We start from the raw sequence: 22,301 nt of genomic DNA on the forward strand, positions 1-22,301 counted from the left end.
ACCTCAGGTGATCCACCCACCTTGGCCTCCCAAAGTGCAGGGATTTCAGGCATGAGCCACCGTGCCTGGCCTGTTTTTTTTATTGTTTTTTTTTTTTTGAGACAGTCTTGCTCTGTTGCCCAGGCTGGAGTACAGTGGGGCGATCTCAGCTCACTGCAACCTCTGCCTCCCATGCTCAAGTGCTTCTCCTGCCTCAGCCTCTAGAGTAGCTGGGACTACAGGAGCTCACCACCACAACCAGCTAATCTTTGTATTTTCAGTAGAGACAGGGTTTTGCCATAATGACCAGGCTGTTCTGCAAACTCCTGACCTCAGGTGATCCACCCACCTCGGCTTTCAAGTCCTGGTGTGAGCCACCTTGCCAGTCCCCTCTTCACTAATTTTTAATTTACATAATGAATTCTGATTTTGAACCCATGTATTGAGTTTTTCTACTTAGTTACTGTATGTTTAGCCCTAGGGTTTCTGTGTAGTTCTTCATAATTTCCATACGTTGGTTGACCTTCTCATTTTCTTCATGCATTGCTTTTATGATTTCTTGAAGCTGTCTCTTAACTCAATGAGTTTCCAACATTGTTTGGGTTGGAGGTGATGGGGTCTCACTGTGTCCCTCAGGCTGGAGGACAGTGGTACAATCTTGGGTCACTTTATCCTCTGCTCTCCAGGCTCAAGCGATCCTCCCACCTCAGCCTGGCATGTATCTGTGGATGTGTCCTCTCTAGGTTTTTGCTTATAATCTCCTAACTGAAGTTAATTTAAGTGTGTGTGGGTGTGATTTGTAGTGTGTACAGGAGAGCATTAATGGAGAAGCCTATGATTTTTTGTTTGTTTGTTTTTTGAGACAGTCTCATTCTGTCATCAGGCTAAAGTGCAGTGGCGCCATCTAGGCTCACTTCAACCTCCACCTCCTGATTTCAAAAGATTCTCCTGCCTCGCCCTGCTGAGTAGCTGGGACTACAGGCACGCACCACCATGCCCAGCTAATTTTTGTATTTTTAATAGAGACGGGGTTTTACCATGTTGGCCAGGATGCTCTTGATTTCTTGACCTCCTGATCCACCCATCTCGGCCTCCATAAGTGCTGGGATTATAGGTGTGAGCCACCACGCCTGGCCAAGCCCATGTTTTATGTAGAAAATACATTATTTTCAGTATATATATACATATATTTTATTTTGAGAGTCTCACTCTGTTGCCCAGGCTGGAGTGCAGTGGTGCGATCTCGGCTTACAGCAACTTCTGCCTCCAGAGTTCTATCGATTTTTCTGCCTCAGCTTCCCAAATAGCTGGGATTACAGGCGCTTTCCCCCACCGTGCCTAGCAAATTTTTATATTTTTAGTAGATACAGGTTTTCACCATGTTGGCCAGGTTGTTCTTGAACTCCTGACCTTAAGTAATCCACCCACCTTGGTTTCCCAAAGTGATGGGATTACAGGTGTGAGCCCCAATGCCCGGCCATATATATATATAGTTTGTTTGTTTTTTGACAGAGTCTAACTCTGCAGCCCAAGCTGAGTTGCAGTGGCACAATCTCAGCTCACTGCAACCTTCGCCTCTGGGGCTCAAGCAATTCTCCTGCCTCAGCCTCCCAAGTACCTGGGATTAGAGGTGGGCACCACCACACCTGTGTTCAAGCAATTCTCCTGCCTCAGCCTTCAAGTAGCTGGGATTACAGGCAGGTGCCACCACGCCCAGCTAAGTTTTGTACTTTTAGTAGAGATGGGGTTTCACCATGTTACCCTGGATGGTCTCAAACTCCTCAAGTCAGGTGATCCACCTGCCTTGGCCTCCCAAAGTACTGGGATTCCAGGCCTGAGGCACTGCACCTGGCCATATATTTTTTATATTGTCCATAAAACTGAGACTTCCACAGTGACTTAGGGGATTTTAAAATCTATCAAGGAAAAGTGCAATAAAATGCAACTATACAGAAAAAACTGTTCAAAAATACCTTAATGCGGCTTTGTCAGAACACCGTCTTGGATCAAATCGATACTTATTTTCTCTTTTCTCATTTCATGTGAAGGTGATGACTCACTCCTCCCTAATGTTTTGTTGAAATCTGTCTTTCATTTTAGGGACACTAGACTTTCAGGGATGTGGCTATAGATTTCTCTTTGGAGGAGTGGAAATGCCTGAACCCTGCACAGAGGGCTTTATACAGGGAAGTGATGTTGGAGAACTACAGGAACCTGGAGTTTGTGGGTGAGGAAAATATCCCTCCAGACATGAGGAATCTGCCCTTGTCTATCTTGGCTCTTCCTGGTTTTGTATTCTCTTTTGTGATGTTGCCCCATACATGCTTTTCATGTACATGTCATTGTTTTCTACAGTGATGACCCTCATATTTGTCATGGACAGCTTCTTAGAGACTCCCTTATGGAGTGGTTTTACATAAAACCAGAAAATTCATGAAGAACACTTTGACTAATAAGATTGAACATCATCCTGCTCTAGGCAGAGATGCCCCTGGAGGCCCTGAGCGGAATTGTCACCATGGCCCAGGATATGAGATAGAAAGCATCACACTGACTGACAAGTGTTTCCAGCTGCGCTTGTGGTTTTGTGTTTTTTGTTTCATTTTGTTTTTATGAGACAGAGTGTTGAACAGGTTGGAGTGCAGTGTCGTGATCTCAGCTCATTGCAACCTCCACCTTCTGGGCTCAAGCAATTCACATACCTGAGCCTCCCAACCTAACTGAAATTACAGATGCATGTCACCATACCTGGCTAATTTTGTATTTTTTTTATTTTTATTTTATTTTTATTTTTTTTATTGATCATTCTTGGGTGTTTCTCACAGAGGGGGATTTGGCAGGGTCACAGGACAATAGTGGAGGGAAGGTCAGCAGATAAACAAGTGAACAAAGGTCTCTGGTTTTCCTAGGCAGAGGACCCTGCGGCCTTCCGCAGTGTTTGTGTCCCTGGGTACCTGAGATTAGGGAGTGGTGATGACTCTTAAGGAGCATGCTGCCTTCAAGCATCTGTTTAACAAAGCACATCTTGCACCACCCTTAATCCATTCAACCCTGAGTGGATACAGCACATGTTTCAGAGAGCACAGGGTTGGGGGTAAGGTCACCGATAAACAGGATCCCAAGGCAGAAGAATTTTTCTTAGTACAGAACAAAATGAAAAGTCTCCCATGTCTACCTCTTTCTACACAGACACCACAACCATCCGATTTCTCAATCTTTTCCCCACCTTTCCCCCCTTTCTATTCTACAAAACCGCCATTGTCATCATGGCCCGTTCTCAATGAGCTGTTGGGTACACCTCCCAGACAGGGTGGTGGCTGGGCAGAGGGGCTCCTCACTTCCCAGTAGGCGCGGCCGGGCAGAGGCGCCCCTCACCTCCCGGATGGGGCGGCTGGCCTGGCGGGGGGCTGACCCCCCCACCTCCCTCCCGGAGGGAGCGGCTGGCCGGGCAGAGGGGCTCCTCACTTCCCAGTAGGGGCGGCTGGGTAGAGGCGCCCCTCACCTGCCAGATGGGGTGGCTGGCCGGGCGGGGGGCTGACCCCCCCACCTCCCTCCGGGACGAGGTGGCTGCCGGGAGGAGACGCTCCTCACTTCCCAGACGGGGTGGCTGCTGGGCGGAGGGGCTTCTCACTTCTCAGACGGGGCGGCTGCCGGGCGGAGGGGCTTCTCACTTATCAGACGGGGTGGCTGCCAGGCAGAGGGTCTCCTCACTTCTCAGACGGGGCGGCCGGGCAGAGACGCTCCTCACATCCCAGACGGGGTGGCAGGGCAGAGGTGCTCCCCACATCTCAGACGATGGGCGGCCGGGCAGAGACGCTCCTCACTTTCCAGACTGGACAGCCAGGCAGAGGGGCTCCTCACATCCCAGACGATGGGCGGCCAGGCAGAGACGCTCCTCACTTCCCAGATGGGGTGGTGGCCGGGCAGAGGCTGCAATCTCGGCACTTTGGGAGGCCAAGGCAGGCGGCTGGGAGGTGGAGGTTGTAGCGAGCCGAGATCACGCCACTGCACTCCAGCCTGGGCACCATTGAGCACTGAGTGAACGAGACTCCGTCTGCAATCCCGGCACCTTGGGAGGCCGAGGCTGGCGGATCACTCCCGGTTAGGAGCTGGAGACCAGCCCGGCCAACACAGCGAATCCCCGTCTCCACCAAAAAAATACGAAAACCAGTCAGGCGTGGCGGCGCGCGCCTGCAATCACAGGCACTCAGCAGGCTGAGGCAGGAGAATCAGGCAGGGAGGTTGCAGTGAGCCAAGATGGCAGCAGTACCGTCCAGCTTCGGCTCGGCATCAGAGGGAGACCCTGGAAAGAGAGGGAGAGGGAGACCATGGGGAGAGGGAGAGGGAGAGGGGACTAATTTTGTATTTTTATTAGAGATGGGATATGACCATGTTGGCCAGGCTGGTCTTGAACTCCTGGTCTCAAGCAATCCGCCTGCCTCAGCCTCCATCCAGGTGTTGGGATTATAGGCATGAGCCACCGCACCTGGCCTTTTGTTCTGTTTTTTTTGTTTTTTGTTTTTTGTTTTGAGACAGAGTTTCACTCTTGTTGCCCAGGCTGGAGTGCAATGGTGCGATCTCGGCTCACTGCAACCCCCACCTCCCAGGTTCAAGCGATTCTCCTGCTTCAACCTGCCTAGCAGCTGGGATTACAGGCATGTGCCACCAAGCCCGGCTATTTCTGTATTTTTAATAGAGACAGGGTTTCTCCATGTTGGTCAGGCTGGTCTCGAACTCCCGACCTCAGGTGATCTGCCCACCTTGGCCTCCCAAAGTGCTGGGATTACAGGCATGAGCCACCGCACCTGGCCCGTTCTGGTTTTTGAGGAGCATCACAGAAGCATCTTTCACTGGCACTGTGACAGTGTTCATCACATAAACTAATGATCATCTTCTCTAAGCAGCAGTCACTGCTGTAGAAATTCCTCCTACGGAGGACATCATTCAGGCTCACTGCCTCATATATAGGAGGCTCTTGACTGAACTCTTTTTTTCTGGACATGGAATTTTGCTCTTGTTGCCCAGGCTGGAGTGCAATGGCATGATCTCCACTCACTGCAACCTCCGCCTCCTGGGTTCAAGTGATTCTCCTGCCTTGGTTTCCCAAGTAGCTGGAATTACAGCCGCCCACCACCATGCCTGGCAAATTTTTGTATTTTTAGTAGAGATAAGGTGTTCTTAAACTTTGAAGATCACTTTTGGGACGTTTAAAATAACTGTTGCTTTTTGTGTAATATTTACACATTTCAATATTAACTATTATTTACCATCTGTACTTTTTTTTTTGAGATGGATTATTGCTCTGTCACCCAGGCTGGAGTGCAGTGGCATGATCTCGCCTCACTGCAAGCTCTGCCTCCAGGGTTCACGCCATTCTCCTGCCTCAGCCTCCCAAGTAGCTAGGACTATAGGCACCTATCACTACACCTGGCTAATTTTTTTGTATTTTTAGTACAGATAGGGTTTCACCATGTTAGCGAGGATGGTCTCGAGCTCCTGACCTTGTGATCCACCTGCCTCGTCCTCCCAAAGTGCTGGGACTACAGGTGTGAGCCACTGCACCTGGCCTACCATCTGTACTTAATTGGAAACCTATTGGTCTTTATATTTTTTAGATAGCTCTTTAAAATCCATGATGGAGTTCTCATCAACTGGGCACGGTAATACAGGAGAAGTGATTCACACAGGGACGTTGCAAATACATGAAAGTCATCACACTGGAGATTTTTGCTTCCCAGAAATCAAGAAAGATATTCATCACTTTGAGTTTCAGTGGCAAGAAATTTAAAGAAATGGCCATGAAGCACCCATGACAGAAACCAAAGAGTTGACAGGTAGTACAGACTGACGTGATCAAAGACATGCTGGAAACAAGCCTATTAAAGATCAGCTTGGATCAAGCTTTCATTCGCATCTGCCTGAACTCCACATGTTTCAGACCCAAGGGAAAATTGGTAATCAAGTGGAGAAGTCTATCAATGATGCTTCCTCAGCTTCAACATCCCAAATAATTTGTAGGCTCAAAACCCATATTTCTATTAAGTATGGGAAGAATTTCCTCTATTCTTCATTATTCACACAAATACAAGAAGTACACATGAGGGAAAAACCTTTCCAATGTAATGAGTGTGGCAAAGCCTTTAATCATAGCTCATGTTTAAGGAGACATCACGTAACCCATTCAGGAGAGAAACAGTATAAATGTGATGTATGTGGCAAAGTCTTTCATCAGAAGCAATACCTTGCATGGCACCATAGTGTTCATACTGGAGAAAAACCTTACAAGTGTAATGAGTGTTCCAAGACCTTCAATCAGAAGTCATCCCTTCAGTGTCATCATAGACTTCATACTGTACAGAAACATTACAAATGTGAAGAATGCAACAAAGTTTAGAGTTGAGGATCACAACTTGAAACACACAGGAGAATTCATACTGGAGAAAAACCATACAAACGTAAGGTTTGTGACAAGGCTTTCTGGGATAATTCATGCCTTTCATGCCGTAAGAGTTCATACTGGAGAGAAATGTTACACATGTAACGAATGTGGCAAGGCTTTTAGTAGAAAAGCAAACCTTGCACATCATGGACTTCATACTGGAGGGAAATCTTACAAATGTAAGGGTTGTGACAAGGTTTTCCACCATGATTTATGCCTTGCACAACATCAGAGAGTTCATACTGGAGAGAACCTTACACATTTCACGAGTATGGAAAGACCTTTGCTCAAAATTCAGCCCTTGTAATGCATAAGGCAATTCATACTGGAAAGAAACCTTACACATGTAATGAATGTGGCAAGGTTTTTAGTAGAAAAGCACACCTTGCATGTCATCATAGACTTCATACTGTCTAAGGTTTCTAATCAACAATCAAACCTTGCACAACATCAGAGAGTTTATACTGGAGAGAAACCTTACAAGTGTAATGAGTGGGGCAAAGCCTTAAGTGGGAAGTCGTCACTTTTTTATCATCAAGCAATCCATGGTGTAGGGAAACTTTGCAAATGTAATGATTGTCACAAAGTCTTCAGTAATGCTACAACCATTGCAAATCACTGGAGAATCCATAATGAAGACAGATCTTACAAGTGTAATAAATGTGGTAAAATTTTCAGACATCGATCATATCTTGCAGTTTATCAGCGAACTCATACTGGAGAGAAACCTTACAAATATCATGACTGTGGCAAGGTCTTCAGTCAAGCTTCATCCTATGCAAAACATAGGAGAATTCATACAGGAGAGAAACCTCACAAGTGTGATGATTGTGGCAAAGTCTTGACTTCACGTTCACACCTCATTAGACATCAGAGAATCCATACTGGACAGAAATCTTACAAATGTCTTAAGTGTGGCAAGGTCTTCAGTCTGTGGGCACTCCATGCAGAACATCAGAAAATTCATTTTTGAGATAACTGTTCCAAATACAGTGACTATAGAAGATCATAAAGCTTTAATTGACATTAGAGCCAAATAGGCATTGACTTGAGATTGAGTTGACTTAACCTTGAGTTTAAGAATTAATTTACATTAAAGTGTTTATGTTAAGAAGATTGGGCCAGGTGGGGTGGCTCATGCCTGTAATCCCAGCACTTTGGGAGCCCAAGGCTGATAGATCACAGCCACACCTGGCTATGAGAGTGTGTAGGTGGCCGTTGGGGTGGGACCTGATTAGAAGGGGCAGGGCCTTGAACAGAATCTGGGCGGGGCAAGAATGAGGAGGCTGCCTGGAGGCCGGGCCAGAGGGTGATCGTCATCTTGAGGGCAAGGTCTGGAAGTGGTGTTTTGAAGGGCAGGGTCTCGAGGGGGCGGGTCCTGGCTTTCTCCTCAGCTGGACCCCAGGTGTCGTCTGCTGTCATCCTCTTGCCCTGCAGGACTAGATTCTCCGGGTACTAATTGGTGGATAGTTTCTGATGTGCCGTGATATTACCCCTAATATCACAGGGATGCCTCCTGTCCATTTTAGAGACTTGCTCTGTCGCCCAGGCTGGAGGGCAGTGGCGCGATCTCGGCTCATTGCAAGCTCCGCCTCCCGGGTTCATGCCATTCTCCTGCCTCAGCCTCCCGAGTAGCTGGGACTACAGGCGCCCGCCACCATGCCTGGCTAATTTTTTGTATTTTCAGTAGAGACGGGGTTTCACTGTGTTAGCCAGGATGGTCTCGATCTCCTGACCTCGTGATCCGCCCGCCTCGGCCTCCCAAAGTGCTGGGATTACAGGCGCGAGCCACCGCGCCCGGCCCCTAAGTTAATATTTCAAACAATCGAAGGTAAAACAACATATTGTGTTGGGCCACCTGTACTGAACGCTGAATCGTTTTTCCTCTTAAGTTGAAAATGGTTTTAATGCAAAGCGCCTTTTTTGAGCAGGTAGAGTCACGCATCCGGCAGGCGGGGCGAGCTCCCCTCTGTCTGGGGCAGGGTGGGGGAGAGGGGCAGGGACCTCGGTAAAGGGGTGGAGTGGCGCGCTGGTTGCCGCGGGCACTGGCAATTAGAAGGGATTATTAAACTAAGCAAGGTCCTGGGTTGTTTGAGTGGATAATGGAAACTGAAAGGTGACGTGCAAAACTGCCTATTACTCCCAGGAGTGGAGGATAATTTCATATTTCATGGAAATAAACTCAGGGCCCGGAGCGGTGGCTCACACCTGTAATCCCAGCACTTTGAGAGGCCAAGGAGGGAGGATCGCTTAAGCCCAGGAATTCGAAATCAGCCTAGGCAACATAGTAAGACCTCATCTCTACTAAAAATAAAAAAAAACAGCCAGGTGTGTTAGTCCACACCTGTGGTCCCAGCTGCTTGGGGTGCTGAGGTGGGAGGATCACTTGAGCCAGAAAGTTGGAGGCTGCAGTGAGCTCTGATCTTGCCACCACACTCCAGCCTGGGTGAAAAAGCTAGACCCTGTCTCAAACAAGCAAATAAATGAGAGGTATAAGTCCTCCTTTAAAAGTAAAGGAAGAGATTTTTCTTTCCTTTTGTCTCTTAGAACATTCAATTAGAAAATTTGTAAATTCATTTTCTCTGTCTTCTGAGGTTTTTTTTTTTAGACAGAGTTTTTCTCTTGTTACCCAGGCTTGAGTGCAAGCCACGATCTCGCCTCACCACAACCTCCGTCTCCCGAGTTCAAGCGATTCTCCTGCCTCAGCTTCCCGAGTAGCTGGGATTACAGGTATGAACCACTATGCCCGGCTAACTTTGTTTTTTTTTTTTAGAAATTAAACCTTTTTTCAGCTTAATGACCCAGGGGTGTATTTTTGAAGGACTTGGGAGCTCTCTTTGAAAGGCAAACAACAAGGGAAACAGTACCTTTATCTCAGTAGGAAATTAAATAATTCAAACATCAAATAACTTCAATTTAAGGCTATGGACTTTGAGATAATTCTGAGCCTTGAGAGGAATGTGGTCAGGCAACCTGAGTCCAGTGGAATGCAGGTGCAACTTCTAAGAGTTTTCCTGTAAGTAATTAAGAAGACTAAGTAGCCCCAGAGATAAGACCTCCTCGGATCATTGTCCCTTCTTATGTAGTGATAAAGTAACCTTCCTTGAAGTGTATCTATCCGTAATCAATCAAGTTGCTGCAGCCTATGCACTGGCCCAGAATAAAAAACGTGGTGATTCTGCTAAAGCTTCTCTGTCTTTCCCTGTGTGTGAAATCTTAACGTCTCTACTTGGGAACGCTGATCCCATTCATTTAGAGTTGATGTTTCCACGTGGCTATTTCCAAGCTTTGCCTTCAAATAAATTCTGTACTTAATCATATATTCTAAATTTTATTATTTACTGCTGACATCAGTTTCTGTCGGATTGTAGGAGCCTCACCAGAGAGGGCCCCTGTCGCCATGTTGTAAAACTCACACTTGCCAAAAGTTGTGGGTTAGGGTTTCTCCCCCTCCCTCAGGATGACGCTAGTTAGCTGACACAGATGGTCACCTCCATTACCAAGTAGAGTCAGGATGAACTATGTGTGACTGTTCAACTATGTGTCCTCTTCCCTGAGGACTGATTAGTGTTTATCTTGAAAACATGTCCTTAATGGGTTGTATAGAACACTGAAGCATCTGATTTCAAACTCTTAGCTCTTTTCCTCTATTTCCCATCACATTCTGGTCTAAGGCTTATTTATTAATAAAATGATTTTTATTTCTTTATTATCGTGGAGATGATTTTTCATTTGGGGGAAGATCATTTTGTTTTCAAATATATTGTCTCAACATTTAAATAGTGAAGTAAAGAGTATTTCTTGTGCCAGGCATGGTGGCTCACGCCTGTAATCACAGCACTCTGGGAGGCCAAGGCAGGCAGATCACTTCAAGTCAGGAGTTTGAGACCAGCCTGGCCAACATGGTGAAACCCCATCTCTACCAATTATACAAAAATTAGCCGGACATGGTGGCGCGCTTGTAATGCCAGCTATTCCGGAGGGTGAGGCAGGAGAATCACTTCAACACAGGGTGTACAGGCTGCACTGAGCCGAGACCTTGCCACTGCACTCCAGCCTGGACGACAGAGAAATACTCTGTCTTAAAAAAAAAAAAAGGAAATTAAGAAAGTAATAGATCTCCTCCACAAATGTGCTGGGACAACTAACTTGATATTCACATGGAAAAGAATAATGTTGGATCCCTACATCACACAATCAAAATTTTATTTTAAAAAGTTAGAGAACGAGGAAGGGAGCCCTGCGGGAGGGGGTGTTACTTTGTCGCCCAGGCTGGTCTGGAACCCCAGGCTCAGCAACCCTCCCGCTGCTGCTTCCTGAGTAGCTGGGACCTCAGGCTCCCTCCCCAGTGCCCGCATCTCTGCTGTGTTTAAGCAGCAGGTGGTGACTTCGCTCCTCCCTGGCCTGAGCACTCCGTCCCGCATCCCAGGCGGTGGCCCTAGGGAAGTCTCTGAAGCTGAGCACAGGGTGGACTCTGCCCCCACCGCCGACCCGCCCTCCCCGACCCCGAGTGAATGGAGAATAGAAAGGGAGAGGATTTCTGTTCTGTCCTGTGGGCCCTCAGTATGAAATCGTAGTTCTGCCCAGGCAGGACTTTGCATTTCACATTCTAGTTTGCATCCCCGTTCCAGACAATTCCAGGGCTTTTGACTCATGCCTCAGCCTTCCCGGCCAGTCTCCCTTCCAAAACCCGAAAAACGGAGGCGCTGGGCTCAAGACTGACTCTGTCCCGCCCCGGCCCCGCCCTCTGCCGGTTCTAAAGGGCAAAGTCTCTCCGCCTCGCGCCCCGCTTCCGCCTGCCCAGGCCCCGCCCACCTCCTCCTGGACCCCGCCCAGGCCTGGCTTCTGTCCTGCGCGAGCAGATCAGCGCGAACCTGGAAGCGGAGAGCGTGGAGTGAAGGTCCCACGGCAGCGCGTGAGTTTCTCTCTGTTTTATATTAAGTCTGTGCGTCCCAGGTCCCCGGCGCGTCTGTACCTGGGACGTGGGGTCCCCACAGACCTGGAAATTCTCGCCCGTCTTCACCCAGAGCAAATTGAGACTTCCCTTTGAGAGTCCGGGGTTCACTTCCTTTTGGGTTTAAAATCGCCTTGAAGCTGGTGCGGTCTCTGGTCTTGCTGCTATAGGGCAATGTATACACTTTGTATTGGGTAGTTTTCCTGCTCAAAACCTTTTTCTAACTCCTCCCGCCCCGCGCTTTTTAAAGTCCTTACAGGTGAGGTGGATTCCCGCCCTGGGCGCCTCCCACCCTCGCCTTCGACGGCCCCTCGAGTGCAGCGCCGTGCCCCCAGTCCCGCGGAGGCTGCGTCCTCTGCCTGGTCCTGAGATCCTTCAGACCCCACCATTGTCTTAAGGCGCCGTCGTCCCCCACCTCCCTTCTCGTGCCGGGCCCTGCTGCTCCCCAGGTCTCCTCTCCGCCGTCACCGCTTCCCCTGAGCCCGCGTTGGGAAGGTGTCCGGGGCCTGTCCTGTGACACGGGGTGTCCTTGCCTGCCCAGCTCCAGCCCCTGGAAAATGAGCTCCCCCGGGATGCAGACGTCTTACTCCAAACCCTCCTGTAATTGTATGGGCCAAAGGAATCAGGTGAGAGAGAGCAGTAGAAAACCTGAGATAAGAAAAGAGCAGGAGGAGAAAAGCAACTGGAGAAATGTAGAGAAAAGCTAGATGTACAGAGAGATGAAGGACAGCAAGGAAGAGAGGGGGCAGCAAAGAGGAAGGCTCATCAGAGTGAGGGAGAGGAGGAGGGGTTTGGAGCCAGGGCAGACAGAGCAGAGTGGTGCTGGTGGCAAGGACAGAGGGAGAAGCACAGCAGGGAGGACTACTGTGGGTCTAGAGTGCCATAAAGTGTGGACAGGGATGTATAACAGGGAAGAGAGAATGTAACAGGGAGAGCAGAGGAGGCGCAGAGATGGGAGAAGAGGCGGAATCTATGGAGGTTGAGGACAATCCAAAGATTGTGGGAGAAGGAGCAATAAGAGGTTAAATAAGTAGCGAGGATGGAGCAGAAAAGGTGGAAGAGAAGTAATAGAGGGAAGAAGGGGATAAACAGCAGAAGAGGAGAGGGGCAAAAATGAGGCACGGAAGCCCAGGGAAAAAGACAAGAAAACAAGAGCTAGAGAGAGAAGGGGAGAATGAGAGATATGTACAGATTTAGCGAGGGAAGCACAGTAATGAAGACAGAGGGGCTGGGCGCAGTAGCTCACGTCTCTAATCCCAGCACTATAGGAGACTGAGACAAGGGGATTGCTTGAGTACAGGAGTTCGAGCAACATAATGAGACCTCCCCATCTCTGACCAAAAAAAAAAAAAAAAAAAAAAATTAACCGGGCGTGATGGTGCACAGCTGTAATCCTAGCTACTCTGGAGGCTGACGTAGGAGGATAACTTGAGCCCAGGAGGCCCAGGCTGCAGTGAGCCGAGATCATGCCACTGCACTCCAGCCTGGTCAACAGAGTGAGACACTGTCTCAAAAGAAAAAAAGGAGCGGGGGACTTTGGGTAAAGATGAGTAGGTTAGTTCACTGGATATCATTAGTCGTTGACTTCTTTGTATATAATCTGATAACTTAAAACTTGTTTAAATTATACAGATGAGGTTGAGAATTTTTAAACTCCTGTCTATGAGACATGTACCTGTAAATCTTAGCATCAGAGGTTAGCTTCCACCTGAAATCCCTATTCAGCCAAACAGCAGTGACTTATTCAGTTGTGAGTCACTCTCTTGCCTTTTCCCAGAGTTGGGTAGGAAGTGGAGCAGTGAAGTGGGAAAAAAAAAATTGGTGTTATTACATAATACTTTTAATTTAATTAATTAATATTTGGGATGGGCTCTGGCTCTGTAGCCCAGGCTCACGACTGTAATCCCAGCACTTTGGGTGAGGCTAGTGGATCACTTCAGGTCAGGAGTTTGAGACCAGCCTGGCCAACATGATGAAACTCCGTCTCTACTAAAAATACAAAAATTAGCCGAGCATGGTGGTACTCACCTGAAATCCCAGATACTAGAAAGGCTGAGGAAAAAGAATCGCTTGAGCCCAGGAGCAGAAGGTTGCAGTGAGCCAAGAGCCTGCCACTGCACTCCAGCCCAGGTGACAGTGCGAGACTCTGTTTCAAAAAGCAAAACAAAACCATCTGGGTGACTTTAAAGATAATCCAGTTCTGGCCAGGCACGATGGCTCACGCCTGTCATCCCAGCACTTTGGGAGGCTGAGGCAGGCGGATCACCAGAGGTCGGGAGTTCCAGAACAGCCTTACCAACATGGAGAAACCTTGTTTCTACTAAAAACACAAAATTAGCCAGGGGTGGTGGGGCATGACTGTAGTCCCAACTACTCGAGAGGCTGAGGTGAGAGAAGTCACTTGAACCCGGGAGGCGGAGGTTGTGGTGAGTTGAGATCGCGCCATTGCACTCCACCTTGGGCAACAAGAGTGAAATTCCGTCTAAAAAAAACAAAAAGATATCCATTTCCCTGTTTGCTACTCCTGTGTTTTTGATTCAGTAGTTCTTGGACGAGAGCTCGTTGTCCACATATTACATATGACTATTCTCCCTAAGCATTCAGAAGGAGGCAGTCAGTGGAGGAAATTGTGAAATATTTTGCTAGATCCATCTGTAATGTTTTCTTTCTTACTAAAACATAGGGCTGCGGCTCTAGAAAAGCTCCAGCACGTCATCTTCCTTTTTTTTTTTTTTTTTTTTTTTTTTTTTTTTTAATAAGCAGGAGTCTTTCTGACCTGTTATCTCCATGTTGGAGTGAGGGAAGGAGCCCTGGACTGTGGAGAATGAAGTGAAAATAACAAAAAAAATACAGATGGGTAGGAATGTATTATGGGTGTAAACACAAATAGGAGCTCAGATGGGCAGAGTGGAAGCTCCACCCTCAAATCTCTCTGCAAGTGGGAGAATTCGGCGGGAAAAGAAAAGTTTAAATCCTGAGATCTCTGAGTGGACATCTTTCTTTGCCCCCTCTTATGTCTCTGTTATTTATTTTATTTTATTTTATTTATTTATTTATTTATTTTGAGACAGCGTCTCACTCTGTTGCATAGACTGGAGTGCAGTGGCACAATAGCTCACTACGACCTCCACCACCTGGGTTCAAGTGATTCTCCTGCCTCAGCCTCCCAAGTAGCTGGAACTACAGGCATGCATCACCACCATACTAGGCTAATTTCTGCATTTTTGGTAGAGACGGGGTTGTGCCATGTTGGCCAGGCTGGTCTCGAACTCCTGACCTCAGGTGTTTTTCCTGCCTCGGCCTCCCAAAGTGCTGAAATTACAAGTGTGAGTCACCACGCCAGGCCCCTCTGCTCTTTAGATGTGTAGTAGTTTGATTTTTTTGTCCTCTAGTGATGCTGCAGCTCAGAGACAAAGGCAGAATCTTTATCCTGATGGGCAACACCGTGTCATCTGGCTTCTGTGACCTCATTGGTTTCTTGACTCTGGAACAGGGAGGGCTGTGTCAAAGGGGTCTCCTTCCCCTGTGGTCTCTCATTCTGTACTTGACTCCTTCTGACGCTCCATTCTCTGTCCCTATAGATAAGATCTGAGGCCTCCATACACCTACCCCTTGACCTACCAGGTTCCATCCCATTTCCTGTACTTGGAACACCTAATCAAGAGATCGGAAAACCTGGGCTGCTCCTCCTTTGCAACCGGGGCCCGGGATACTGCACAGAGCCCTCTCTGCTTGTTCAAATAGTTGGCTTGCCTATTTGAAGTAGGAAAAAAAGGCCATGCGCGGTGGCTCATGCCTGTAATCCCATCATTTTGAGAGGCTGAGGAGGGCGGATCACTTCAGGTCGGGAGTTTGAGACCAGCCTGGCCAACATGGTGAAACTCCGTCTCTACTAAAAATACCAAAAGTAGCCGGGTGTGGTGGTGGGTGCCTGTAATCCCAGCTACTCGGGAGACTGAGGCAGAAGAATCTCTCGAACCCGGGAGGTGGACTCTGCAGTGAGCTGAGATTCCGACACTGCACTTTAGCCTGGGCAACAAAGAAAGACTCCACCCCCCGCCAAAAAAAAGAAATACAAAAAAAAAAAAAGTGTTTTTCCTACTCTCTCATGCCACTGAGCACAGAATGCCTCAGTTCTGATCACCAAAATTTGTGGATTTCTCCCCAACCACATCTTGGAGTGCAATGGTGTGATCTTGGCTCACCACAAACTCTGTTTCCTGGGTTGAGATGATTCTCCTGCCTCAGCCTCCTGAGTATCTGGCAAAAGAGCAAGACCTCATCTCAAAATAAAATAAAATATGTGAGAACAAAATTACTCAAAGTACAAAAGGCTAATCAGAGACTCAAAGAAAACAACCATTTGTCTCTTATTTACCTATGTCCTGGAATCCACCCCCCACCCCGCTTTGGGTTGTTCCACCTTTCCCGACTTAACCAACGTACATCTGACACTTACTGATACGTCATGACTCCCTAAAATGTAAGCTCTACCTAGACCATATTGGGCACATGACATTAGGACCTCTTGAGCCTGTGTCGTGGGCATGCAGTTAACCTTGGCAAGATAAACTTTCTAAACTGATTGAGATTTGTCTCAGATACTTCGTTCACAAACTATTTTTAAAGTCCCAGGTAATTTATTTTAGCAGCTAAAAGAAAAATCTTGGCTGGCACGTTGGCTCATGCCTGTAATCCCAGCACCTTGGGAGGCCAAGGCGGTTGGATCACAAGGTCAGGAGTTCAAGATCATCCTGGCCAACATGGTGAAACCTTGTCTCTACTACAAATACAAAAATTAGTGGGCATCTTGGCATGTGCCTGTAATCCCCGCTACCTCAGAGGCTGAGGCTGGAGAATCGCTTGATCCAGGGAGTCATGGGTTGCAGTGAGCCGAGATTGTGCCACTTCACTCTAGCCTGGTGACAGAGAAGACTGTCCAAAAAAAAAAAAAAAAAAAAAAAAAAAAAAAAAAAAAGCTGGTTTCAGGGGTTTCTGGTTACAACAGGAAGTTTCAGCAGCCATACTTCAGAGAATCACGTTCTTGAAGCAATGTTTGTATCCTGAGTTCATTTTTCATCTGTCCTCTTGACTTTGGTTTAGTTGTGAGGCAGCCTCATTTTCTGGGGTAATACCTGATGTTCGTTGTCTCATGGCCACGGAAATCGAGGACACGGACACCCAAGAGTGGCGTTAAGAGTGGAAGTTCAATAGGCGAAAGAAAGTCAATAGCTCTCTGCTACAGAGAGAGGTCCTGGAAAAATGGTTTGCAGATTCGTGGCAAAACGTAGGGGTTTTATAGATGAGCTGGTGGGGAGGTAGTGTCTTATCTACATAGGACCAGATGTAACATTTGCATACGGCATGAATTTCTGGCAGCCCCCTCCCCAATCTTTTATTATGCAGGTTCTTTGCCTGAGCTGTGCCATGTTACCCATTTCTTTCTTACTGTACACGTGCTAACAAAAAAGGAAAGACGGAGCTTCCATGGTGGACATGCCTAGCCCCAAGGTAGCCCCTTTTCTATTGGCACAGCTGCTGACTTCCCCCATGCAAGCTTCCAGCTTGCTTACGTATGTTTGCAGATCGATTTTTCGGGCTGCTCTTTGTTAGAACAAAACGATATTTTGGGCAGCTTTTTGTTAGAAGGGAAGCTCTGCAGAGGAGTTTTTGCCCTTACTGTCTGCCTAAATAGTTTATTTTTACCTCCTGTATAAGTTGGATGTGGCAAGAGTGACCCAATTGATAAGATGAACTTTTATCACGGCAGAATTTTAAATTCACTTTACGTGCATTCTGCAAGTAACTAGAAAAGATACTTTTTATTTGCAAATTATAAGGTGTTTTGTTTGTTTGTTTGTTGTTATTTGAGACAATCTCACTGTGTCACCCAGGCTGGAGTGCAGTGGTGCGATCTCGACTCACTGCAACTCCCGCCTCCCAGGTTCAAGCAATTTTCCTGCTTCAACCTCCTGAGTAGCTGGGATTACAGGTGTGGGCCACCATGCCCGGCTAATTTTTGTATTTTTAGTAGAAACGGCATTTCGCTATGTTGGCCAGGCTGGTCTTGAACTCCTGTCCTCAAGTGATCTGCCTGCCTCGGCCTCCCAACGTGCTGGGATTACAGGCATGAGCCACCACACCTGGCCAATTATAAGGTATTTTATTTTTTATTATTTTTATTATTATTTTTTGAGACGGAGTCTCAGTCTGTCACCCAGGCTGCAGTGCAGTAGCACGATCTTGCCTCACTGCATCCTCCTTCTCCTGGGTTCCAGCAATTCTCCTGCCTCTGCCTCCCGAGTAGCTGGGATTACAGCCATAAGCCATTACTCCCAGCTAAGTTTTTTTTGTCTTTTTAGTAGAGATGGGATTTCACCATATTGGCCAGTCTAGTCTTTAACTCCTGACCTGGTGATCTGCGTGCCTTGGCCTCCCAAAATGCTAGGATTATAGGCTTGAGCCACCGCACCCGGCCCTGTAAGTTATTTTATACCTTTTCTTTGTTTTTCTTTCTGTCAGGTGTGGTAAGAAAACCTGTAACATAGATAGCCTTCAGAATATATTTGGATTTACTGTGGAGTCCTAATTAGGGAAAAGGAGTCTGGCTAGTGGGAACAGGGGGAAAGCAAAGAGATAAGGCAAATAAGCTATTTAAAAAACTAAACATTGAGCTACCATATCATCCAGCAAGCCCAGTGCTGGGTATATATACCCAGCACTAGGCTAAATACAAGAAATAAAAGAAATCAGTATATTGTGTGTATACTTATAGACAATGAAGTAATGTTCAGCCGTCAAAAAGTATGGCATCCTGTCATTTCCAACAACATGGATGCAACTGGAGAGAGATATATATATATATAAATATATATAATATATAAAAAATATATAATATATATAAATATATATTATATATAAAAAATATATATAATATATATTATATAAAATATATATGTAATATATATTATATATAAAATATATAATACATAAAATATATATGTAATATATATTATATATAAAATATATAATACATAAAATATATATTATATATGTAATATATATAATCTATATATAATATAGATTATATATATATATTTTTTTTTTGCTGAGACAGATTCTCGCTGTGTCACCCAGGCTAGAGTGCAGCAGTGCGATCTCTGCTCACTGCAACCTCCGCCTCCTGGGTTCAAGCGATTCTCCTGCCTCAGCCTCCCAAGTAGCTGAGACTACAATGGTGCACAACCACGCCCAGCTAAATTTTGTGTTATTTTTATTCGTATTCCCCATATTTACTTTTATTTCACAGTACTTTTTATATCCTTACTCTGTATGTATTTTTGCTCTATGTAAAGTAAAATGCATGCCATGTGTTCATTTGGGGCGTAAGAGAAAGGCATTTAGAAGAATACAAGTCCCACTTATCAATAGGGATGCAGGTTTGTCAGAGTGTGAAACTGCACTGCTATGGGATTTTCATCATGTTCATATAAGTATCCTAAGGCCGACTGCAGAGAGGATAACTGAAGTGGAAGGTGTGATTGTATGTTCTCAAATTGTATGATGTTTAATTCCATCATAAAAAAAATTGTAGGCTGGGCGTGGTGGCTCATGCCTGTAATCCCAGCACTTTGGGAGGCTGAGGCAGGCGGATCACGAGCTCAGGAGATCGAGACCAACCTGGCTAACACAGTGAAACCCCGTCTCTATAAAAATACAAAAAAATTAGCCGGGCATGGTGTGGCGGGCACCTGTAGTCCCAGCTACTTGGGAGGCTGAGGCAGGAGAATGGTGTGAACCCGGGAGGCGGAGCTTGCAGTGAGCCAGAGCTTGCAGTGAGCTGAGATCCTGCCACTGCACTCCAGCCTGGGCAACAAAGCGAGACTCCTTCTAAGAAAAAAAAAAATTGTAGCTCCTTCAGCCTTAGCAACCTGATGGCACATTGTTTGTGTTTAGACATGAAGGATCCTATAGAGGTGAGATAAAGCTATGCAGGTAGATGGAACATAATTAACTCAGTTATAAAAAAATTAAATGTTGTTAACACATGACATCTGTGATACATTCTAAATAAAACAATAGAAACTGTAGCCTAGCCATCACAGTAAAACCCCATCTCTACCAAAAAATACAAAAATTAGCTGGGCATAGTGGTGGTACACCTGTAGTCCCATATACTAGGGAGGCTGAAGCAGGAGAACTGGTTGAACCCAGGAAGCGGAGGTTGCAGTGAGCCATGATCGCTCCATTGCACTCCAGCCTGGGTGACAGAGTGAGACACTGTCTCAAAAAACAAACAATAGAGAATGTAATGCTGACAGTTTAAAAGGATTCCTAATCAAGGACATGCTATTGTGGGTTTTTTTTTTTAAAATAAACTCTCCTTTTTGGACCAGGCACAGTGGCTCACACCTGTAATCCCAGCACTTTTGGGAGGCCAAGCAGAAGGATCACTTGAGCTCAGGAGTTCAAAACCAGCCTGGGACACATAGTGAAACCCCGTCTCTACAAATAGAAAAAAAAAAGCTAAAAATCCCTCTTCTCTGTGGTAACTGCTCTTTTCAAGTTCAAGATTAAGAGAAATTTTTCCTCAATCTTGCTAAATGACAGCTACTGCCATTCAATGGAGATGTGGCTAACATGTCCCCTGCATTACCTCTACTGTATATGTAATCACTTCCTATTAACGTATTAATCTCCTCCAATAAAAACTGCAGCCTCTTAAGGTCTTGGACTGCTCTATTTCATGATTGGTTAGTAGAGCATTTCTTTCCTATAATCCACACTGGCCCTCTCTGTGAAGAATGCCCTGTATGCAATAATCTGACTGATATCACAGCTTTACATTATTCTCAGCCCCCTACAAATCTTAATTCAGCCATTTTTTTTCCTTTTTTTTTTTTTTTGAGACAGAGTCTCACTCTTGTCCAGGCTGGAGTGAAGTGGCACAATCTAGGCTCACTGCAACCTCTGCCTCACGGGTTCAAGTGATTCTCCTGCCTCAGCCTCTCTTGTAGCTGGGATTACAAGCATGCATCACCATGCCCGGCGCATTTTTGTATTGTTATAGTAGAGATGCGGTTTCACTTTGTTGCCCAAGCTGGTCTCGAACTCCTGATCTAAGGTAATATACCTGCCTCAGCCTCCCAAAGTGTTGGAATTACAGGCGTGAGCCACCATGCCTGGCCCATTCTGGTTTTTGAGGAGCATCACAGAAGCACATACATAGGCAACAATCTCCGTCTGGTTCTGTTTCCTTTTCTTTGTGTTTTTCTTTCTTTTTTTTTTTTTTTTTTTGAGATGGAGTCTCGCCTGTCACCCAGGCTGGAGTGCAGTGGCATGATCTCAGCTCACTGCAAGCTCTGCCTCCCAGATTCAAGCAATTCTCCTGCCTCAGTCTCCCGAGTAGCTGGGATTACAGGTGCCAGCCACAATATCTGGCCAATTTTTATATTTTTAGTAAAGATGGGGTTTCACCATGCTGGCCAGGCTGGTCTCGAACTCCTGACCTCAAGTGATCCACCCATCTCCGCCTCCCAAAGTGCTGGGATTAGCCAATATTCAGCCAGTAATTAATTTCAAAAGATAGTGTCCCTGTTTCACAGGAACATGGAGAGAAATGATTTCACCTAATGAAGTAGGCCATTGTTTCCTATTCCTGCCTATAGATCATGAAATGACTAAGAAAGACATCATAAAAACATTTCAAATGTCAGCTTGAAAGTCAACATTGGTAAAGAAGTCTTTCTCCTTCAATAATATAATACATTATTTCATGACCTGAAAGTAACTGGCCATTTCCAAATGTCCTTGAGTCTTTGATATATATGTCATGACTTTTAACATATTTTGAATTGTAATTATTCTGCAGAATGTAATATAAAAGATTTATGGTAGAGAATTAGACTTCCTATTGGCTGGGCACGGTGGCTCACGCCAGTAATCCCAGCACTCTGGGAGGCTGAGGCGGGCGGATCACGAGGTCAGGAGATCAAGACCATCCTGGCTAACACGGTGAAACCCCGTCTCTACTAAAAATACATAAAATTAGCCGGACATGGTGGCGGGCACCTGTAATCGCAGCTACTCGGGAGGCTGAGGCAGGAGAATGGCATGAACCCGGGAGGTAGAGCTTGCAGTGAGCCGAGATCTCGCCACTGCACCCCAGTCTGGGCAACAGAGTGAGACTCCATCTCAAAAACAATAACCAAAAAAAGAGAATTAGACTTCCTGTGAGCTCTCAGATGGATTATAGTTTGTGAATAATTTACCATATCATTACATTTGTAATGGATTGTTCCACTATAATTTTTATTTTTATTTTTTGAGATGGAGTCTCACTCTGTTGCCCAGGCTGAAGTGCAGTGGCAGGACCTTGGCTCACTGCAACCTCCGCCTCCCAGGTTCAAGTGATTCTCCTGCCTCAGCCTCCCAAGTAGCTGGGATTACAGGCACGCACTACCACACCTGGGTAATTTTTGTATTTTTAGTAGAGAGGGGGTTTCATCATGTTGGCCAGGCCAGTCTCAAACTCCTGACCTCATGGTCTGCCTGCCTCAGCCTCCCAATGTGCTGGGATTACAGGCGTGAGCCACCATGCCCGGGCTCCACTATGATTTTTTTTTTTTTTTTTGAGACAGAATCTCGCTCTGTCGACCAGGCTGGAGTGCAGTGGTGTGATCTCGGCTCACTGCAACCTCTGCCTGCCGGGTTCAAGTGACTCTCCTGCCTCGGTCTCCCAAGCAGTGTGGACTACAGGCGTGTGCCACCACCCCCAGCTAATTTTTGAATTTTTAGTAGAGACGGGATTTCACCATGTTGGTTGGCTAGGATGGTCTCAATCTCTTGACTTCATGATCCACCTGCCTCGGTCTCCCAAAGTTCTGGGATTACAGGCATGAGTCACTGGGTCCGGCCCTCCACTATGAA

The 22,301-nt window shown here is 46.4% G+C and overlaps 1 protein-coding gene, 1 long non-coding RNA gene and 1 pseudogene across 12 annotated transcripts in view, besides 6 other annotated features; all 3 read left to right on the forward strand.

The window, feature by feature from the left end:
* Positions 1 to 10,127, forward strand: part of ZNF701 (zinc finger protein 701) — a 29,863-nt gene extending 19,736 nt beyond the window's left edge. For 5 of the 7 annotated variants that reach the window (XM_047439071.1, XM_047439072.1, XM_047439074.1 and 2 more), the window contains exons 6-7: positions 2,080 to 2,206; positions 5,595 to 10,127. The gene's annotated coding sequence lies outside the window, so the exon portion shown is untranslated. The remainder of the gene's footprint in view (positions 1 to 2,079; positions 2,207 to 5,594) is intronic. The other 2 variants (XM_047439073.1, XM_047439076.1) reach the window with 1 other exon arrangement.
* On the forward strand, positions 6,662 to 10,130 carry ZNF137P (zinc finger protein 137, pseudogene; annotated as a pseudogene). The gene is made up of 3 exons (NR_023311.1): positions 6,662 to 7,548; positions 8,193 to 8,783; positions 9,125 to 10,130. The product of NR_023311.1 is annotated as a zinc finger protein 137, pseudogene (transcript).
* Positions 11,139 to 11,198: a silencer, noted in NCBI's record as "silent region_10995". NCBI's record gives its function as "represses an Ori minimal core promoter by ATAC-STARR-seq in GM12878 lymphoblastoid cells {active_cell/tissue: GM12878}" and the evidence as "EXISTENCE:reporter gene assay evidence [ECO:0000049][PMID:35858748]".
* Positions 11,279 to 22,301, forward strand: part of LOC137778871 (uncharacterized) — a 34,279-nt gene continuing 23,256 nt past the window's right edge. For all 4 annotated transcript variants that reach the window (NR_197425.1, NR_197423.1, NR_197424.1 and 1 more), the window contains exon 1: positions 11,279 to 11,333. This is a non-coding gene — a long non-coding RNA (uncharacterized LOC137778871). The remainder of the gene's footprint in view (positions 11,334 to 22,301) is intronic.
* Positions 11,319 to 11,378: an enhancer, noted in NCBI's record as "active region_15052". NCBI's record gives its function as "activates an Ori minimal core promoter by ATAC-STARR-seq in GM12878 lymphoblastoid cells {active_cell/tissue: GM12878}" and the evidence as "EXISTENCE:reporter gene assay evidence [ECO:0000049][PMID:35858748]".
* Positions 11,319 to 11,837: a biological region, named in NCBI's record as "H3K27ac-H3K4me1 hESC enhancer GRCh37_chr19:53104606-53105112".
* Positions 11,331 to 11,837: an enhancer, noted in NCBI's record as "H3K27ac-H3K4me1 hESC enhancer chr19:53104606-53105112 (GRCh37/hg19 assembly coordinates)". NCBI's record gives its function as "activates a minimal SCP1, AML or CMV promoter by ChIP-STARR-seq in naive H9 embryonic stem cells {active_cell/tissue: H9 hESC(naive)}" and the evidence as "EXISTENCE:reporter gene assay evidence [ECO:0000049][PMID:30033119]".
* Positions 11,449 to 11,498: an enhancer, noted in NCBI's record as "active region_15053". NCBI's record gives its function as "activates an Ori minimal core promoter by ATAC-STARR-seq in GM12878 lymphoblastoid cells {active_cell/tissue: GM12878}" and the evidence as "EXISTENCE:reporter gene assay evidence [ECO:0000049][PMID:35858748]".
* Positions 12,159 to 12,238: an enhancer, noted in NCBI's record as "active region_15054". NCBI's record gives its function as "activates an Ori minimal core promoter by ATAC-STARR-seq in GM12878 lymphoblastoid cells {active_cell/tissue: GM12878}" and the evidence as "EXISTENCE:reporter gene assay evidence [ECO:0000049][PMID:35858748]".

The sequence above is a fragment of the Homo sapiens genome, chromosome 19 (assembly GCF_000001405.40).
Source record: "Homo sapiens chromosome 19, GRCh38.p14 Primary Assembly".
Lineage (NCBI taxonomy): Eukaryota > Metazoa > Chordata > Mammalia > Primates > Hominidae > Homo > Homo sapiens.